At 34.1% G+C, this 15,704-nt stretch overlaps 1 protein-coding gene across 3 annotated transcripts in view; it reads left to right on the plus strand.

Annotated features, from left to right (window-relative positions):
- The window catches only part of ADAM23 (ADAM metallopeptidase domain 23), a 177,596-nt gene that overhangs the window by 102,004 nt on the left and 59,888 nt on the right, over positions 1–15,704 (plus strand). For all 3 annotated transcript variants that reach the window (NM_001410985.1, NM_003812.4, XM_005246932.4), the window contains exons 7-12: positions 1,894–1,966; positions 2,746–2,819; positions 4,560–4,625; positions 11,892–11,963; positions 14,420–14,583; positions 15,593–15,677. In NM_001410985.1, coding sequence (NP_001397914.1) covers positions 1,894–1,966; positions 2,746–2,819; positions 4,560–4,625; positions 11,892–11,963; positions 14,420–14,583; positions 15,593–15,677 — 534 coding nt within the window. The remainder of the gene's footprint in view (positions 1–1,893; positions 1,967–2,745; positions 2,820–4,559; positions 4,626–11,891; positions 11,964–14,419; positions 14,584–15,592; positions 15,678–15,704) is intronic.

The raw sequence follows: 15,704 nt of genomic DNA on the forward strand, positions 1-15,704 counted from the left end.
AGGCTACTGATAATAAAAGCTGAACAGACAAACTTTTATTGTCTTGGTTATGGCGATGTATGTATGAATATGGGGTAAATTTCAAAGTTGATGCAGAAAAGTTTTAAAGGGTTGGTGTTTGAATAAACCTCTGTCATTTTCAACTAGTAACTATAAAAATTATCAGGTAATGAAGACAGCCCACTTAGATAAAGACATTTTGATTAAGTAAAATGTTATTTATCTCACTCCAGTAAGGAAAGATAATCTGTGTACAGCAAAATTATTCGACTCATTCAGCAAAAACTCTGACTTTGATTTCTGGCTTTGATTAATGGCCCTGGTACCCTAACAAAATCCACAAAGAACAAAACACAGATTCCCAAATAATAACTATTTAAGCCTTAGAGTTTTTTAAATGTATAAAATGAGATAATTTTTAATGCATTCATAGTAGGGCAATTTTGTAGATTTGATGAATTAATAAATGTAGGTGACAATGTCTATTAAACTGTCATAAGGATTTATAAATATAAACTATTGTTATAATGTTTAAAGCATTGGTTTTGCATTGTTTACTTGTGATCATATTATTCAGGGCCTGATTGTTACATGCAAATTGCCTTCTCTTTGCCTTCCTTCCTGTTGCCTACCTTTTGGTTATGTAATGATTTGTCCTCATCCACACTATGGGTAGAGGAAAGGAATAGTGCTTTAAACTTTAGTCGATTTTTTAAATTGTGTTGCTGATCCCATTGTTAATTTCATTACTATCTTTTCACCTTTTACCAGAATTTAGAGCTTACTGTAATTAATTTTAGATATTTTGATGTTTGTTGTTAGATATTATTGATTTTAGTATGCTTTGCGATAAGTCAAGTAATACGCATGGGATATTTCTAATGAGAATTCATGTTATCTCTCAAGTAATAAATGAATAGCAAAACTGTTATAAGTTTTATGTAACCTATTAAGAAGTTTCTTTTTTATAACTTTTTCTGATTATAAAACTAATATAGGAAATTTGGAAAAGCAAAACAAATACTTAAATAGTAATTTTCCATTATCCTGTCCCCCAAAGATAACTTCTTGTCATGTTTCAGAATATGTTCTTCCAGTTTTCAATGATATAGTCCCATATATTTTTAAAAATAGATTGGATCATTATTTTATAAGATAATTTTAAGACAATGATGTATCTCCCTGAGCCTCAATATCTTTATTTGTAAAATAGGGATAAACCATGCACTATATGGCGTCTTTGTCAGGACTAAATTAAATAATGTGTACATTAACAGTACCTGATACATACTATGCACTCAGTAATGGAAGCTAATAGGAATAAGAATAATGGTAATAGACATTCCTAAAAGCATAATTTCTAGGGCAAAAAATGTAAATGTTTTCACGTTTGTTGATATACCTTACTAAATTTCTCTCTCAAACTATGCTACCAATTTCCTCTTGCCAGCAAGGTGTGAGAGTGCTTTTGGCCTTACAATGGTAATTAACTATGGATATCGTAATTTTTAAAACTTCATCAGTTTTATGGCAAAAGTTGGTGCTTCATTAAAAAAAATGCATGTTGAAGGAATATGAAAGCATTCGGCATGTTTTTACATGTTTATTGACTTTTTGTGTTTCTTGTGAATTTCCCATTTATAGCTTTAAAGAAAGCTAAGATTTAAGAGTAACCAGTAACACTATGTTTTTATCTAAACTGGGGCAATTAGATGATACTCTTTTATTTAAAATTAAGATTTCAATAAGACATACTTTTCACTTTTGATAGCTAAAAAACTGACATATAAATATTCCCATTTTAGGAAGGACATTAGAGAAAGTTCCAACACTGTTTCATAGAGGCTTGTTCACATCTTGCTTTCTAAATTGCCTACAATTGTTTTGTTTCAGAAAAGCACAGGTCGACCACATATAATCCAGAAAACCTTGGCAGGACAGTATTCTAAGCAAATGAAGAATCTCAGTAAGTTTTAACTAAAAATAGCGATTATATTTTATGTAGTATGAGCTTTTATCTGGTGGAGCTCAGTAGATATGCAGGCTTGTTGGAAGTGGAATTGGTCTGATATCAGGGGTGAACATCGTGGATCAGCACTGGAATGAGTGGTGGCTCTTGTGTAAAGAGGCATGGAGAGTCATTTCCAGTGCAGACTAAAACATGAAGACTTTGAGTAAAGCTGCCTTGGGAACCAGAAAGTGTGGTCAAATTTAGTACAGTGATTTACAGTGAGGTTCATCCTGAAATCTTCCTGGCAGTTTGCTGCTCTTGAGCCAGCTTGGATTGCCTCCCTCTCATGCTCTGCTCCAGACACATCTTAAGTGTGCTAATGTTGGAAGAAGCTTCTTTTTGATTGTTGGGGCATGTGATTTTATTTCTGTATATTACTGCTAAAAGTCTTTAATAATTTATGCAAAAGCTAATGCCATACATTATTTTGAATGCTAAAATGAATTAGACATAGTAGAACTCTGTCAAATTTTCAGATATTGTCAAGTGGTTTTATATCAAATATGCATCTTCTAATGAATCTTGAACATTATGTTTTCTTGATGTTTGGGACAAAATTACATTTGAACTATCTTTGTGGTCATGAGAGTGTGAAATATATAATGATCAGTGTGCTTTTTTTCACCTTAGTTTGACATATATTATCAGTGCCACTGTTTCTTCATGTAATATTTTAAAACATACTCCCATTGAAATAAGCATAAAATTTTGATACTAATTTTTCCTTTCTGCAGCTATGGAAAGAGGTGACCAGTGGCCCTTTCTCTCTGAATTACAGTGGTTGAAAAGAAGGAAGAGAGCAGTGAATGTGAGTGTGGCATTGAGCCTTGGGTGGGCCTATTTTACTCAATGAAGTCATGTGCCTATCACCCCACATTATCTAAGTGTACCTAAAACAGTTCAGATTTTGGGGACTGTTGTTTAAAAATGAAAACAATAAACAAAAAACCCTATGATTTGAGCCTTAACACACTGCTTTTTATTGATCTCTTTCTGTTAGTGATTCAAACTGATTACGGTAGTCTCTGAACCCTGACGTCATCTAAAGAACGTGTTGTTTTAGCTCTGTTTTCTACGTGTTTTCTGATGATAATTGCAGTGCGTTTTATTTTCTATTTAAAGTACAGCAGACTTTTCTTTCTATATGGCTTATATAGTGTCATATAAAACATTTCTGTTAATAAAAAATCTAGAGAGAGGAGTTAGGTTTTGAAATGTTGGCTAATCATACATATTTATATTACTTTCAGATTAAAAACTCTGTTACACCAAACTTTAAAGCTGTATGTGTTTTTCAGAACACAATGAATTTATTTGACTATTAGCAATATAACAGTTTCTAAATAAAAATCATGTAATTGTATAATCAACTACTGTTATATACTTCACATGTATTGATAAACGTATAGGGGCTTTGTAATTGAAATTATGTTTCTGGTCTTTTCATAATAGGCTAGAAAGCTGTAATGATGGGGACTGTTTAGTAATTACATGGTGAATGCTATGTAACTGAGAATTAATTCCACAGCTTATACATTACATGGTAATTTACTAGATAACTTAATGAGTAACTATAGTAGAAATTGCACATTTTAGATAATGTTTTGCTGAGTGTATTTTTTTTGTGAAAAAAATAGACCACCAGCCATCAAAAACTTAGTTCCAGTTTAAATTTTCCTCCCTTTTATGAAACTCTTATGATAATTATGGATACATTTATTATATATTATATAAATTATTATTAGATCTCTTTTAGCTCATTCATAAAGATGTGGTTGGTAATAATATGTTTTACAATGGCTGCTGTTCTTTCCCTACAGTCCACCTCATCAAATATAAAGTGATCAATGACTATGTACATAAAGAAAAAAGAGCCACTATTATAATTTTCCAACTATGAAAAAGAAATAAAAGTCCAAATGAAGGCTAAAATACTTACTCTTAAAGAATTATCTAGTTAATTTAGAAGACTTTAGACTGTAATAATTGCCAATATTTTTTCCTTTGAGAAATTGAGCAGTTAAGAATTAGCATATTATTTTTAGAATTTCACTCGAGTGAGTTAATGTTTCTATTTAACTACATTGATATCTGTATCAGATATATCTGGAAGTAATTATAACTTATGCTATTCTTATTAAATGAGTTTTACATAGATTTTCATTGACGTTTTAAGTAAATATGAATATTTTATCACATTTTAATGTGAAATTGAGATTTATTTATTTTAACATAATTATGCTATAATTTTTCTCTAGAATATTTTTACATATAAAAACCATATACAACAACATGGACTGTTTTCTATGTTGATAAGTAAGTACCTTAATGATAATAAAATACAGTTATTTTCTAAATACTTGAATATGTACCCATATTTTATGATCACTTTTTAAAATTTGCCTGACCAACTTTCTTCTAAGGTGTTTATAAAGTAGGCAGCAGAGAGTTGTTCTGAAATTCAAAGTCTTATCTACAACTTAACAGTGAGCACTAGAGAGATTTTATGTCAATCACTATTCTGACCATATATTTTTATTTTCCGTAGCCATCACGTGGTATATTTGAAGAAATGAAATATTTGGAACTTATGATTGTTAATGATCACAAAACGGTAAGAATATAGAGTCAGTGGGTTTTAGAACAGATAGCTTACTTAAGAAAGAATACATTTTACTTTATAGTTAATCATTATTTTTTACTTATTAACCCCAAGATATTCAGACATATTAAGTGACTTGATTTATTTGTCGGTGTTTGGAGACTCTGAGTTTTATAGAATTTTCACAACTCTAAACTTTCCTTACATTTAATAATTATAATTAATAGATTTAGCTATCTGGCATCTTTTGTCTTCATTTAAAATTCTTATTCTCTACTTTTCTTCATCTATGTATTTGGTCACTGCTTTCTAATTTTATTCCGTGCTTTTGTCCTGCTAATATGTTATTTTTTCTTACTAGTTAATTATGCTTATGGTAGATACAATTGTAGGAGGCAAACATATAAAATAAAGGTTTATCTAAAGTGAATATCTTTGATGACTTATCGTCTTTTTTTTTTTTTTTTTTGTGAGACGGAGTCTCGCTCTGTCGCCCAGCCTGGAGTACAGTGGCGCGATCTCGGCTCACTGCAAGCTCCGCCTCCCGGGTTCACGCTATTCTCCTGCCTCAGCCTCCCGAGTAGCTGGGACTACAGGCGCCCGCCACTACGCCCGGCTAATTTTTTGTATTTTTAGTAGAGACGGGGTTTCACCGCCTTAGCGAGGATGGTCTCGATCTCCTGACCTCGTGATCCGCCTGCCTCGGCCTCCCAAAGTGCTGGGATTACAGGCGTGAGCCACCGCGCCCGGCGACTTATCGTCTTTAAATATTGGAAAGATGAATAATCTCGTGTTAACTTCTGTGGCAGTAAAATGTGATTGAATATGTCATTTCAGTAACACTTAAAAGATATATGAAAAACATTCATTGTTCCTCATTTTCCCCTCTTGAAGATACAATAGAAACTCCGTTAACTATACTTAACCGTTTCCTTTATAAAATTACTTGCCTGAAGCCCAGAAGAGTCTTGGTCAGTAGGCTATATACTAGTACACCCAATACTAGTGGTGTGCTGGTAAATTTTAATACCTAGCTCTCTTGATTTATAATGTTTGCTGATATCTGTGGTGTAAATATTGCCACCATAGCTGATTTCAAGCTATCAAAGTGAGATCACTGATGAGGAGTTAGGAGAGGATGTATCTAGTTGGCTCTCGGGATCTGATGGGAGCTGGCTCCAGCAACCACTGCCACACTCCCCAGACTGTTTAGGCCAATTGTAATCTCTGTTGTAGTTATGTGATTGAACTTTAAAAGTTGTAAACTCTAAGGCAAAAAGTACTTGTTTTATCAAAACAAAGTTGCACTTCTGAAAAGACTTTATATAGATGAGAATCTTTTAAAAAATGCATAGAAATCAGGTATTGGTGACAAACTTATGAAAGATTGGAACAAAAATTGAAATTGCTTTGGAATTATCTTTAAGTCTTTGTTTTACTTTAAGGAAACCAAAATTAGATTAGTACATGGTATGATAAGGTTGTGCTTCATGCTAAAATGATGTGAAATTCTAATTAGCTGGCCCTACTCAGAGAATGCCTTGAAACTAGAAATTTAAAAAAATAGTGACTTAATTTATATTTAAACTTTTAAGTTTCTACTTTAATGGATGTTTTCCATTAACTATCAGTTTAATTGTGTTGAATATCAATAGAATACCTCTTACTTTTGTATACACATTTATTTTCTGTTCCAGTTGCCTTTAAATATATTGCTTGAGATGTTAGTAAGAAGCAAAATTTATCAGAACACATATAATTTAAGAGAGGTCCTTTTTGGTGGAAAGGAAAGCCAGATGTGTAGGCAGTCATTTTAGACAGTAAAGGCTAAAATATGAGTTTCTGAAGGACTTTAATTTGCTTGAAACCCCAAGATAGTTTTTTTATCTGAATTATTTTTGTTGATTGGAACATTGAGATTTTTTTTCCCAGCTGATTCTCAATCTTGAGCATTGTGGCATGTTGTGAAATTATGGCTTTTGAAGCCTAAGCTTTTTTCAACATCCATTATATAAATACTTTTAGAGTAGTAGAAATAATAATTAAGATATATTCAATGTCTTTGAATGCACAAAGTGCATTCTCAAATAGCTGTTAATCTATAGAATCTGTTCTCAAACCTTTACTTGCAATTCCAAATCTCTTGTTCTACCATAATATATCAGGAAAGTACATGAAGCTATCAATCAAAAGAGCAAATCTCAGTAACTGTGCAAAATAGGAAACAGTTACTACTAAGTGTTAATTACAATTAAACAGTTATAGTTTTTTGGTAATTGTTAAAACAGCATATTTTTTGAATTTATTTTTTAACCCTTCTCAATGGTAAACATTTAAATAACCTTATTCTTATGAATAATAAAATAGCATACTTCTTAAAATATTATTTTATATGTAGAAAATTTCTACACACCATGTCACATGTTCTGTGATAGAGTTCCTTATTTAGGCTATCAAATCTTTTAAGGGTAAATTTTAATAATTCATTTTATTATTGTTGTTAGTATTATTATTATTATTGTTATTATTTTGAGATAGGTTCTCACTCTGTCACCCAGGCTGGAGTACAGTGATCCAATCTCATCTCGGCGCAACCTGCGCCTCCGCAGCTCAAGTGATCCTCCCATTTCAGCCTCCCGAGTAGCTGGGACTATAGGTGCATATGACCATGCCTGGCTATTTTTTGTATTTTTTTTTTTTGTAGAAACTGGGTTTCGCCATATTGCCTAGGCTGGTGTTGAGCTCCTGGACTCAAGTGATCTGTCTGCTTCAACCTCCGAAAGTGCTGGAATTGCTGGCGTGAACCACCATGCCTGGCCTATTATTACTATTATTAAAATGGGTGAGAAGTAGGTATGATATGGTCATCAGTTTTTGAAACAAGGAAAAAGAATTGTAATTTGTACTGATAAATTTAGAGGGAATCGATGTTTAAAAAGGAAAAAAAGGCCGCGTGTGGTGGCTCACGCCTATAATCGCAGCACTTTGGGAGTCCAAGGCGTGTGGATCACTTGAGGTAAGGAGTTCGAGACCAGCCTGGCCAACATGGTGAAACCCCATTTCTACTAAAATATAAATATATATATACACACACACACATATACATACACATATACATATACAAAAAAAATTAAAAAATTAGCCGGAGGTGGTGACATTTACCTGTAATCTCAGCTACTTGGGAGGCTGAGACAGGAGAATTGATTGAACCCGGGAGGTGGAGGTTGCACTGAGCCAAGATTGCACCACTGCACTCCAGCCTGGGCGACAGAGTGAGACTCCGTCTCAAAAAAGAGGAAAGCTTTTATTTTTGAGTGGTAATAATGCCTAAAATAGAAATTGCCTAAGATTTCTACTATTTAAAGAAATAGTACTTCTTGGCTAATAGAACTAAATATATTCCTTTTGCTTTAAGACAGAGTTACATTCTAATCCATAATAGTCCCAAATACGTATGACATTTTATAAGAATTTTTTTTTTGAGAGCTGAAAAAAATTTTTTGAGGTATGCTTTCTATGAGATGAAGGTTGTTTTTAAATTTGATTGCCACTTCAGTAGTATATCAGAACTTACTGGATCAAAGTACTTAAATTCACATGTTGAAAGTCAAACTGAACTAGAATAATTAATACATTTATTTCTGAATATGTGGGGATTTGCTGCTGGGCTTTAGGATAATCATCTCACTGAGAGTACTCATCTTACAATCTTTATACTATACGATCCAGAATAGTTATTTTGATAATTCTCACCTTCGGGTTGAAAAACCAAATTCTAATCTTATTTTTTTTCAAAAGACAGTTTTCTTAAGGATTGCATGTGTTCAGGAAGGAAAAGCAACCATTTTAAATAAAGATTGTTTTAAACTGATCAGAAATGTGAAAGTAAGTTTTGTTATAAATGGTGATTGCATATTTTTCTTTATATGCAAAATTAGTTCTAATTCATGCAGGAAATAGAAACATTCTGCCTACATTTGCATTCAAGCTTATCCCTTTAATTCAGAGTGATTTAACGTTGGCTGCCTGAAAAAAATGCAGATATCTTATTTTCAATAGGTATCACATTATCAGTGGCTTTCCATTAGAAAAGAAAAATCCCTCAATTTGGTAAAAAGTATCTTAGTACCTGGCTGGTGGAACCTCATTTGCAAGCCAATTATAGCCTTGATAAGAGTCTGCAAACATGTCTTTGAGCTGCTTAAGTTAAAAATAAATATTAAAAATCTTATTCTAATAGAAAATTGGTTGAGATTTTTTAAAGTGCATAAAGTGCATGAAAAGCAAATGTTTTGCGTACGTGTTTTGCTACATACTTAACTATGCGTCAATAAATGTAAATATGTGAGGATAATTTAAATATTTTTCAATTTAAACCTCACTTGGTTTTCCTTACTTAAAAACCACTACATTTTATATACACCTAACAAATTTTGAGTTTTCATTAATAATCATGATTTGTTAGGAATATATATAAACTATTTAATAGGAATTGTTAACTGAACCAGCTTACCTCCTCCCTCAACCTAGAGACTAGAAGGATTTAAATTCTAGCTGTGTGATCTTGAGTAAGTTATTTGGGGATAATAAAACCCACCTCATAGAGTTGTGAGGAGCAAATATTTGTTTTAGGCGAAACACTTACAGTTTCTACTAAACCCTAGGTGTCCAATTAAATGGCACTTCAAGTTAACAAATCTAGTGGTCATTGTTCTGTCCTTGTCTTACTCTCTCAGCAATATTGGACACAGTTGATTACCCTCTTTTTTTGAAAATTTTATTTCATCTCTTGGCTTCTATGACGTGGTAGCTCTCTCACCTCACTGGCTATTTCTTCCTAGTCTTTAAAATCTGACCTCTGGAATTATGTGAGTGCCGCAGGGCTTGGTTCAGGGCTCTTTTCTCTTTGTATACTCTCTACCTAAGTAACAACTTGCAGCCTCAAGTCTTTAAGTGGGATCATGACTTTAAACTCGTTATTCCCTACTTTTAGCTCTAGCCCCTTAAGTTCTGTGCTCATATACAGAACTGCCTATTTGATATCTCTATTTTAGTGTTGATTTGAATAGAACTTCTGAATCAGAACTCTTAGTTCCCTAGTCCTAAACTTCTCTTCTTCTAGTCTCTCTTATTATTTTAAGTGGCACCACAATCCCCCATCCATTCAAGTTCAAAACCTAGGAGTTATCTTTTAATTCTTCTCTTTCCTCACCTTCCACATCCTATACATCATCCAGTCGTGGGAGCTCTACCCTCGTAGTGGTACTTGAATTCACTTCTCTCTACAGTTGTTTAGCCTCCATTATCTCTTACCTGGACTATTGCAGTAGCTTCCCAACAGGTATCTCTGTTTCCATTCTTGGCACTCTCTAATTTACATAACAATGACAGGCAAAATAATTTTTCTAAAAAGAAAATCAGAGGATTGAAAATTACAAATATGAAATAAATTTAAAACATTACATTTTGATAGACTTTTAAAATACCTCATTTTATTAATTTTTAAAACTTGAAATGTTTTAAAACTTGTCATGTTTTCCGTGATCATTATGCTATAAAAAGAAATCTCAATAAAATAACAAATTAATACTCAGAAGCAAACTAAAATTCATCTTAATAGGTGTGTAACACCACTGCATTAGAAGAATAGATATCAGCTAATGTTTTCTCTTTCAATCCACAATTCAGTGGAACTAGAACATTTTCATCATCCCAGAGGAACTTAATGTTAATATTTTTCCTTTTACTCTTAAGTGTATCTTGGAAAGTTTTCAGCTTGTGGAATTTGCTAGGCAACTTAAAATGCTGAGCTATCTATAGAAACTTCTTTATGCCAAGTTTACAAAATGTGTTATAATGCCTGAATAATTTCAGATTAATAGGATGTTTTATGACCCAGTTATATGCACACATTACAGTTTACTTTAAAAGAACACAAATATAGACAGTTTGGGTCAGATTATGATGTACAGTAGTGGCAATAACATGAACAGTAATAGTAATATTATACCAACAGTTATGTATTCATGAATACTATAATAATAGCAGAATATTAATTTATTTAGCATTTATTATGGGTAATCAGTGTTTTTGTTGTTATAAAAAATAAACATTAGATATGTAAACATTGAGATATATATTCTTTGTTTAAAAAACATAGTCACAGATAGAATGAAATGAAGGGAATCTGACAAAAGTTATATATAGGGTGCGAATGGGCAAAGGACAAATAAAAGAATTTTCTAATGTAGAAATATTTTGAATCTTTATGAAAGATGCATTATTTTCATAATTATAATTGAAGGTAAATTTCAAAGACTTGTGCAAATCTGAGTCTGTGGTTTTAAGTAGGTTTTGTTTTCCTTAGTGTTGTAGAAATAATAACCTCATGGACCAGTAGAGGGCATGATTTTCCTATGGTAGACCAGTTTTCAAATGTCCTCTTGAAGACATTAAGCAAAGCGTACTACTCCTTGCTAAAAACGTAGCCCTCCAGATGTCATTGTAGAATTACTCTATTAATTTACTTTTCTTTATTTCTTAAATAAACATAAACAATCATAAACTCTCAGCACACTTCATTTTTACTTTTTGTCTTCTCTTTGTTTTGACTTTGAGCAGTCAAAAGCAAATGGCTTCATTTGGAGGAGGCATTCCTCTGAAAGGATATACTAAATGCCTGGCAAATGCTGTCCATATCATGGACAGTATCTAAAGCACTGACAAAGACATTTTCTTGATCTGTGCGTGGCCTTGAATTTAAAGTGAGACAAGTGGGTTAAGCCGTTTGTATAAGCTACAAAATGTCATTTCAATGAAAACAAAAGGATTGAATTTGTAGACATTAAGACTAAATTTAAAACTTACTTTTTAGGTATAAAGCTTCTCATATCGATTTCTATAGGTCCTTACTATTATTCAGAACATCGTAGGTTTTTTTGTTTTTTTTTGAAAAAAATTTTGTAAAGACAGGATCTCACTGTGTTGCTTAGGCTGGTCTCAAATCCCTGGCCTCAAGCAGTCCTCCAGCCTCCACCTGCCAAAGTGTTGGGATTACAGTTGTGAGCCATGCTGCCCAGCTAACATCATGTTTTAGATAGTCAGAGTTTTGCCACCTAACAGAGAAGTAACACCACCAAATCCAGTATACCACAAACTAAATTATATATTTTTAAATCCATATTTCTACTATTACTGAGATATTTCTGCTTTTACAGCATTTTGAAATTTATTATTCACTTATGATTTGGCAGTGACTGGTATGTATTTCCCCCCTAGTATAAGAAGCATCGCTCTTCTCATGCACATACCAACAACTTTGCAAAGTCCGTGGTCAACCTTGTGGATTCTGTAAGTATCCTGGTTTTCTTGAATTTGTGTGCCAAGATGGAATGGTTTATCTCTATTTGCTTACTTGTACTTTAGGTATTTCTTGAACAAATTTAAAAACACAATCCTGAAGCTCATCTGGCTAAGGAATTATAGGATGGTCCGCTTCACAGAGTAGTGCTCTGAGAGTTTCAGATGACTGAGTTATTCCCGGAATCCCAAAGATACATTAGTGTTGCTTCTAAGTTGCGTCTATACATTATTGCCCCCAGTCTGTGGAGGACAAAAACAGTGGAGAAATAGCTACCAAAATCTATTTGCTATTATACTGGCAAATGAGACTTTTTAAAGAAACAACTGGGCTTTTCTTAAATATATGGTGGTAACAGAGAAGAAAAAATGGATTGAAGCAGAGTATGTTTGGAGAATATAGGTAATACCAAAAAAAATTTTTTTAAGGACACAAATATATTTTCTTAGTGTTCCCATTGGTGTGATATTTCATACTTGATTTCTAGATGATGGAAATAAGTGCAGTCCCCAAATAAAACTAATTTGGAAGAATAAAATATGTATCTCCTTACAAAGACTTCTAACTGTACAAATCTTCAATATTGATATGTTTTCCTCACTTATTTTGTGAATTACAGAAAATGCTTAAGATTTTCTGCCTTTTTCCTGCCTTAGGTTAGAACTCTATAGATATGAACATTATATATTATGTTCCAATGAATATTTAAGTTGACTAGTCAGAAATTAAATATAGAATATTACTCCATATGTTGTAATGTAAAGTGCTATTTTGCTTAGCTAAATATATTTTTATCGGGTATTTTATTGTGTGTTCCTTCTTAAATGCGAAAAAAACCCCACCATTTTTTATAAGTTGCCAAATATCTAAATGATACTTATTTACTCCAAAGAGCTGCCTTCTTTTCTGCCTTTTAAGCAGTCCACAAACCTCCAATCATGTAAATATTCATAACATATGTATGTTATGTACCTGGTGGGCACAGCTGCACAAAACTATAACATGAGTGGATGTGCGTCGAGTATCTCATATAGAGTTAGGATAGCATCTCAGTGCCAATTTACACCTGGTTTATTAATTTTCTTTAATTTCAGCTCTTGTTTATCTTCTCAGAGGAAAACCACAAGTGAATGTGGAAAAGAGAATCTTAACCACATCTTTTCCTCTGCAAAAGCTGTTTACTTGGTAGCATCTCTGAATTAGTCATTTCAACATGATTGAATAGAGTTACATCATGCAAAGTGTAATTTTTATTTTGGGTTACCACATAAGGTTCTGAAGCTGACCACTAATTTTTAAAAGACATTACATTTAACTTGTTTTTGTTGTAAAGTCATTATATAATAGCTTCAATTTGATTTAGGCATAATGGTGTTCCCCTTCTTCAGTGTGTTCAAAGATCATCCATTGGTTTTTGTTTGTTTGTTTGTTTGTTTGTTTGTTTGTTTTTCTTTGAGACAGAGTCTTGCTCTGTTGCCCAGGCTGGAGTGCAGTGGCACGATCTCAGCTCACTGCAAGCTCCGCCTCCCAGGTTCACGCCATTCTCCTGCCTCAGCCTCCCGAGTAGCTGGGACTACAGGCGCCCACCATCACACTTGGCTAATTTTTTGTATTTTTAGTAGAGACGGGGTTTCACCGTGTTAGCCAGGATGGTCTTGATCTCCTGACCCTGTGAAGCACCCGCCTCGGCCTTCCAAAGTGCTGGGATTACAGGCGTGAGCTACCGCGCCTGGCCCATTGTTTTCTTAATTAGTTTGAAAACAGGGCAAAATGACAGCATTCATTGAAGTTGCTTAATTGTGTGAATTGTTTAGCTACTGGGCCAAAAATAGAGAGAGAGCAGAAAGGGAACAATTTAAATATTGTGGGTGATGCCACCCAGTGGTGAGGATGAGATGAGTGATAGGGATCTGCTCTTTTTTAGCCTCAGATCCTTGAGTCTCTCTCTCTCCCAATGTTATTTTACTTTTCATATAATATGACCTCCAAGGGTAAGCCAGCTATATTGTTTGGTGCTTATCTGGAGATTTAGTGATTCATTCCAATCCAGCAGGAATAAATTGTTGCACTGCGGTTACTCAGAACTGGTATATCAGGCTCCAACCTGTTACCTGCTATGAGATTTGAAAGGGTGATTTTACTGAACGATGTTTTAAATTTATGCCCTGGCTTTGGAATCCTTACTGTCTCTCCCTAGGACAGTGAATGTATTGCTCTGGGATCGAAATAACCCTATAGGAGAGTTGAAACCAAATTGTGTGATTGTTCTTTCTTTATTTTTGCTCTTGGAAAAAAGAAAGGAAAAGAAGATTCTCTATAATGGGCTAATTATGACCCCGTGTTCTCTCACCTCCCCCTTCCTGTCCTTCCACTGACTCTGACTCACTGATCGTGCATGTTTGACCCAGTGTTTTCCTCCTGCACCTGTCCTGTTGTATACCCTCAGATTTACAAGGAGCAGCTCAACACCAGGGTTGTCCTGGTGGCTGTAGAGACCTGGACTGAGAAGGATCAGATTGACATCACCACCAACCCTGTGCAGATGCTCCATGAGTTCTCAAAATACCGGCAGCGCATTAAGCAGCATGCTGATGCTGTGCACCTCATCTCGTACGTACTCATTTCAGCCTTTAGTGTAGTCTTTGGTCTGACATTTATCCTTATCCCTTTTTTGGTTCAGTTAAGTTAAATATCAGAAAATAGTGACTTGAACAAGATTTCTGTGGGTTCCTTTGTCTGTTAGATAAGAAGCATGGAGTTAGGATATCCCATGCTGGGATGCTGATGGTTCTGTAGTCACAATATCTACCTTTAGAGCCCATAACTTCCATCCTCAAGATCAACTCACAATCTAGGATGCCTGCTGGCCCTCCAGCCTTCATTACTGGCAGCGGGCATGACATGTGGGGAGAAGGGCAAAAGGGTACTCCTTCCAGCCGAGCTGACTGCTGTAAAGCAGGTTTCCTGAAAGCTTGCACATGTATGTTTCATGAACAAATCATTTGCTAGGTGTTAGTCACATGGGCCACACCTAGCTACAAGAGAGGCTAGCAAAATGTAGTCCTTTTAGATGAACTATTCAGTTGAGTTTCTACTACTAAGGAAAAAGGGTTCTATACTTTCTTTTTAATATAATAAGCTATTCTCTTCCCCAGTCATGGCAAAGCTATTTTCAGATAGTCCTCTAAGGTTCTGTCCTGGAATCAAACCAACCAAACCACTCCTTCTTTTCCTCCCACCATTACCGTTGACTTCCTGTTTTTTCAGTCTTTAATCAGCAATTTTTAATAATCAGCAATATTAATTCTTTTTAATCACTGCTAGATATTCTCTACTAGAAAAAAGTCAAGAGCTGTGTCTGTTTATCTTGGTGTTTTCAATTCCTGTGCTAGTACATGATGCTTAGTAGGTACTTGGTGCTTGCTCAATTGAAATTACGTAACATAACAAATTTAAAGGTAATTATGTCATAAATTTTAAGGTAGTTGAAATAAAGTTTTTGATTTCTTGGAGGAGGATGGTTTGGGGGTGTTCCATGTAGGAGGGTAGACATATTTTGGGAGAGTATGAAATGATGGTCCACCACGTTGGTTTTCTGATAGCACTGCTTTTTCTTAAGGCGGGTGACATTTCACTATAAGAGAAGCAGTCTGAGTTACTTTGGAGGTGTCTGTTCTCGCACAAGAGGAGTTGGTGTGAATGAGGTAAATTTTACCAATTAGAGTTTCATC

Source organism: Homo sapiens, chromosome 2 (genome assembly GCF_000001405.40).
Source record: "Homo sapiens chromosome 2, GRCh38.p14 Primary Assembly".
Classification (NCBI taxonomy): domain Eukaryota; kingdom Metazoa; phylum Chordata; class Mammalia; order Primates; family Hominidae; genus Homo; species Homo sapiens.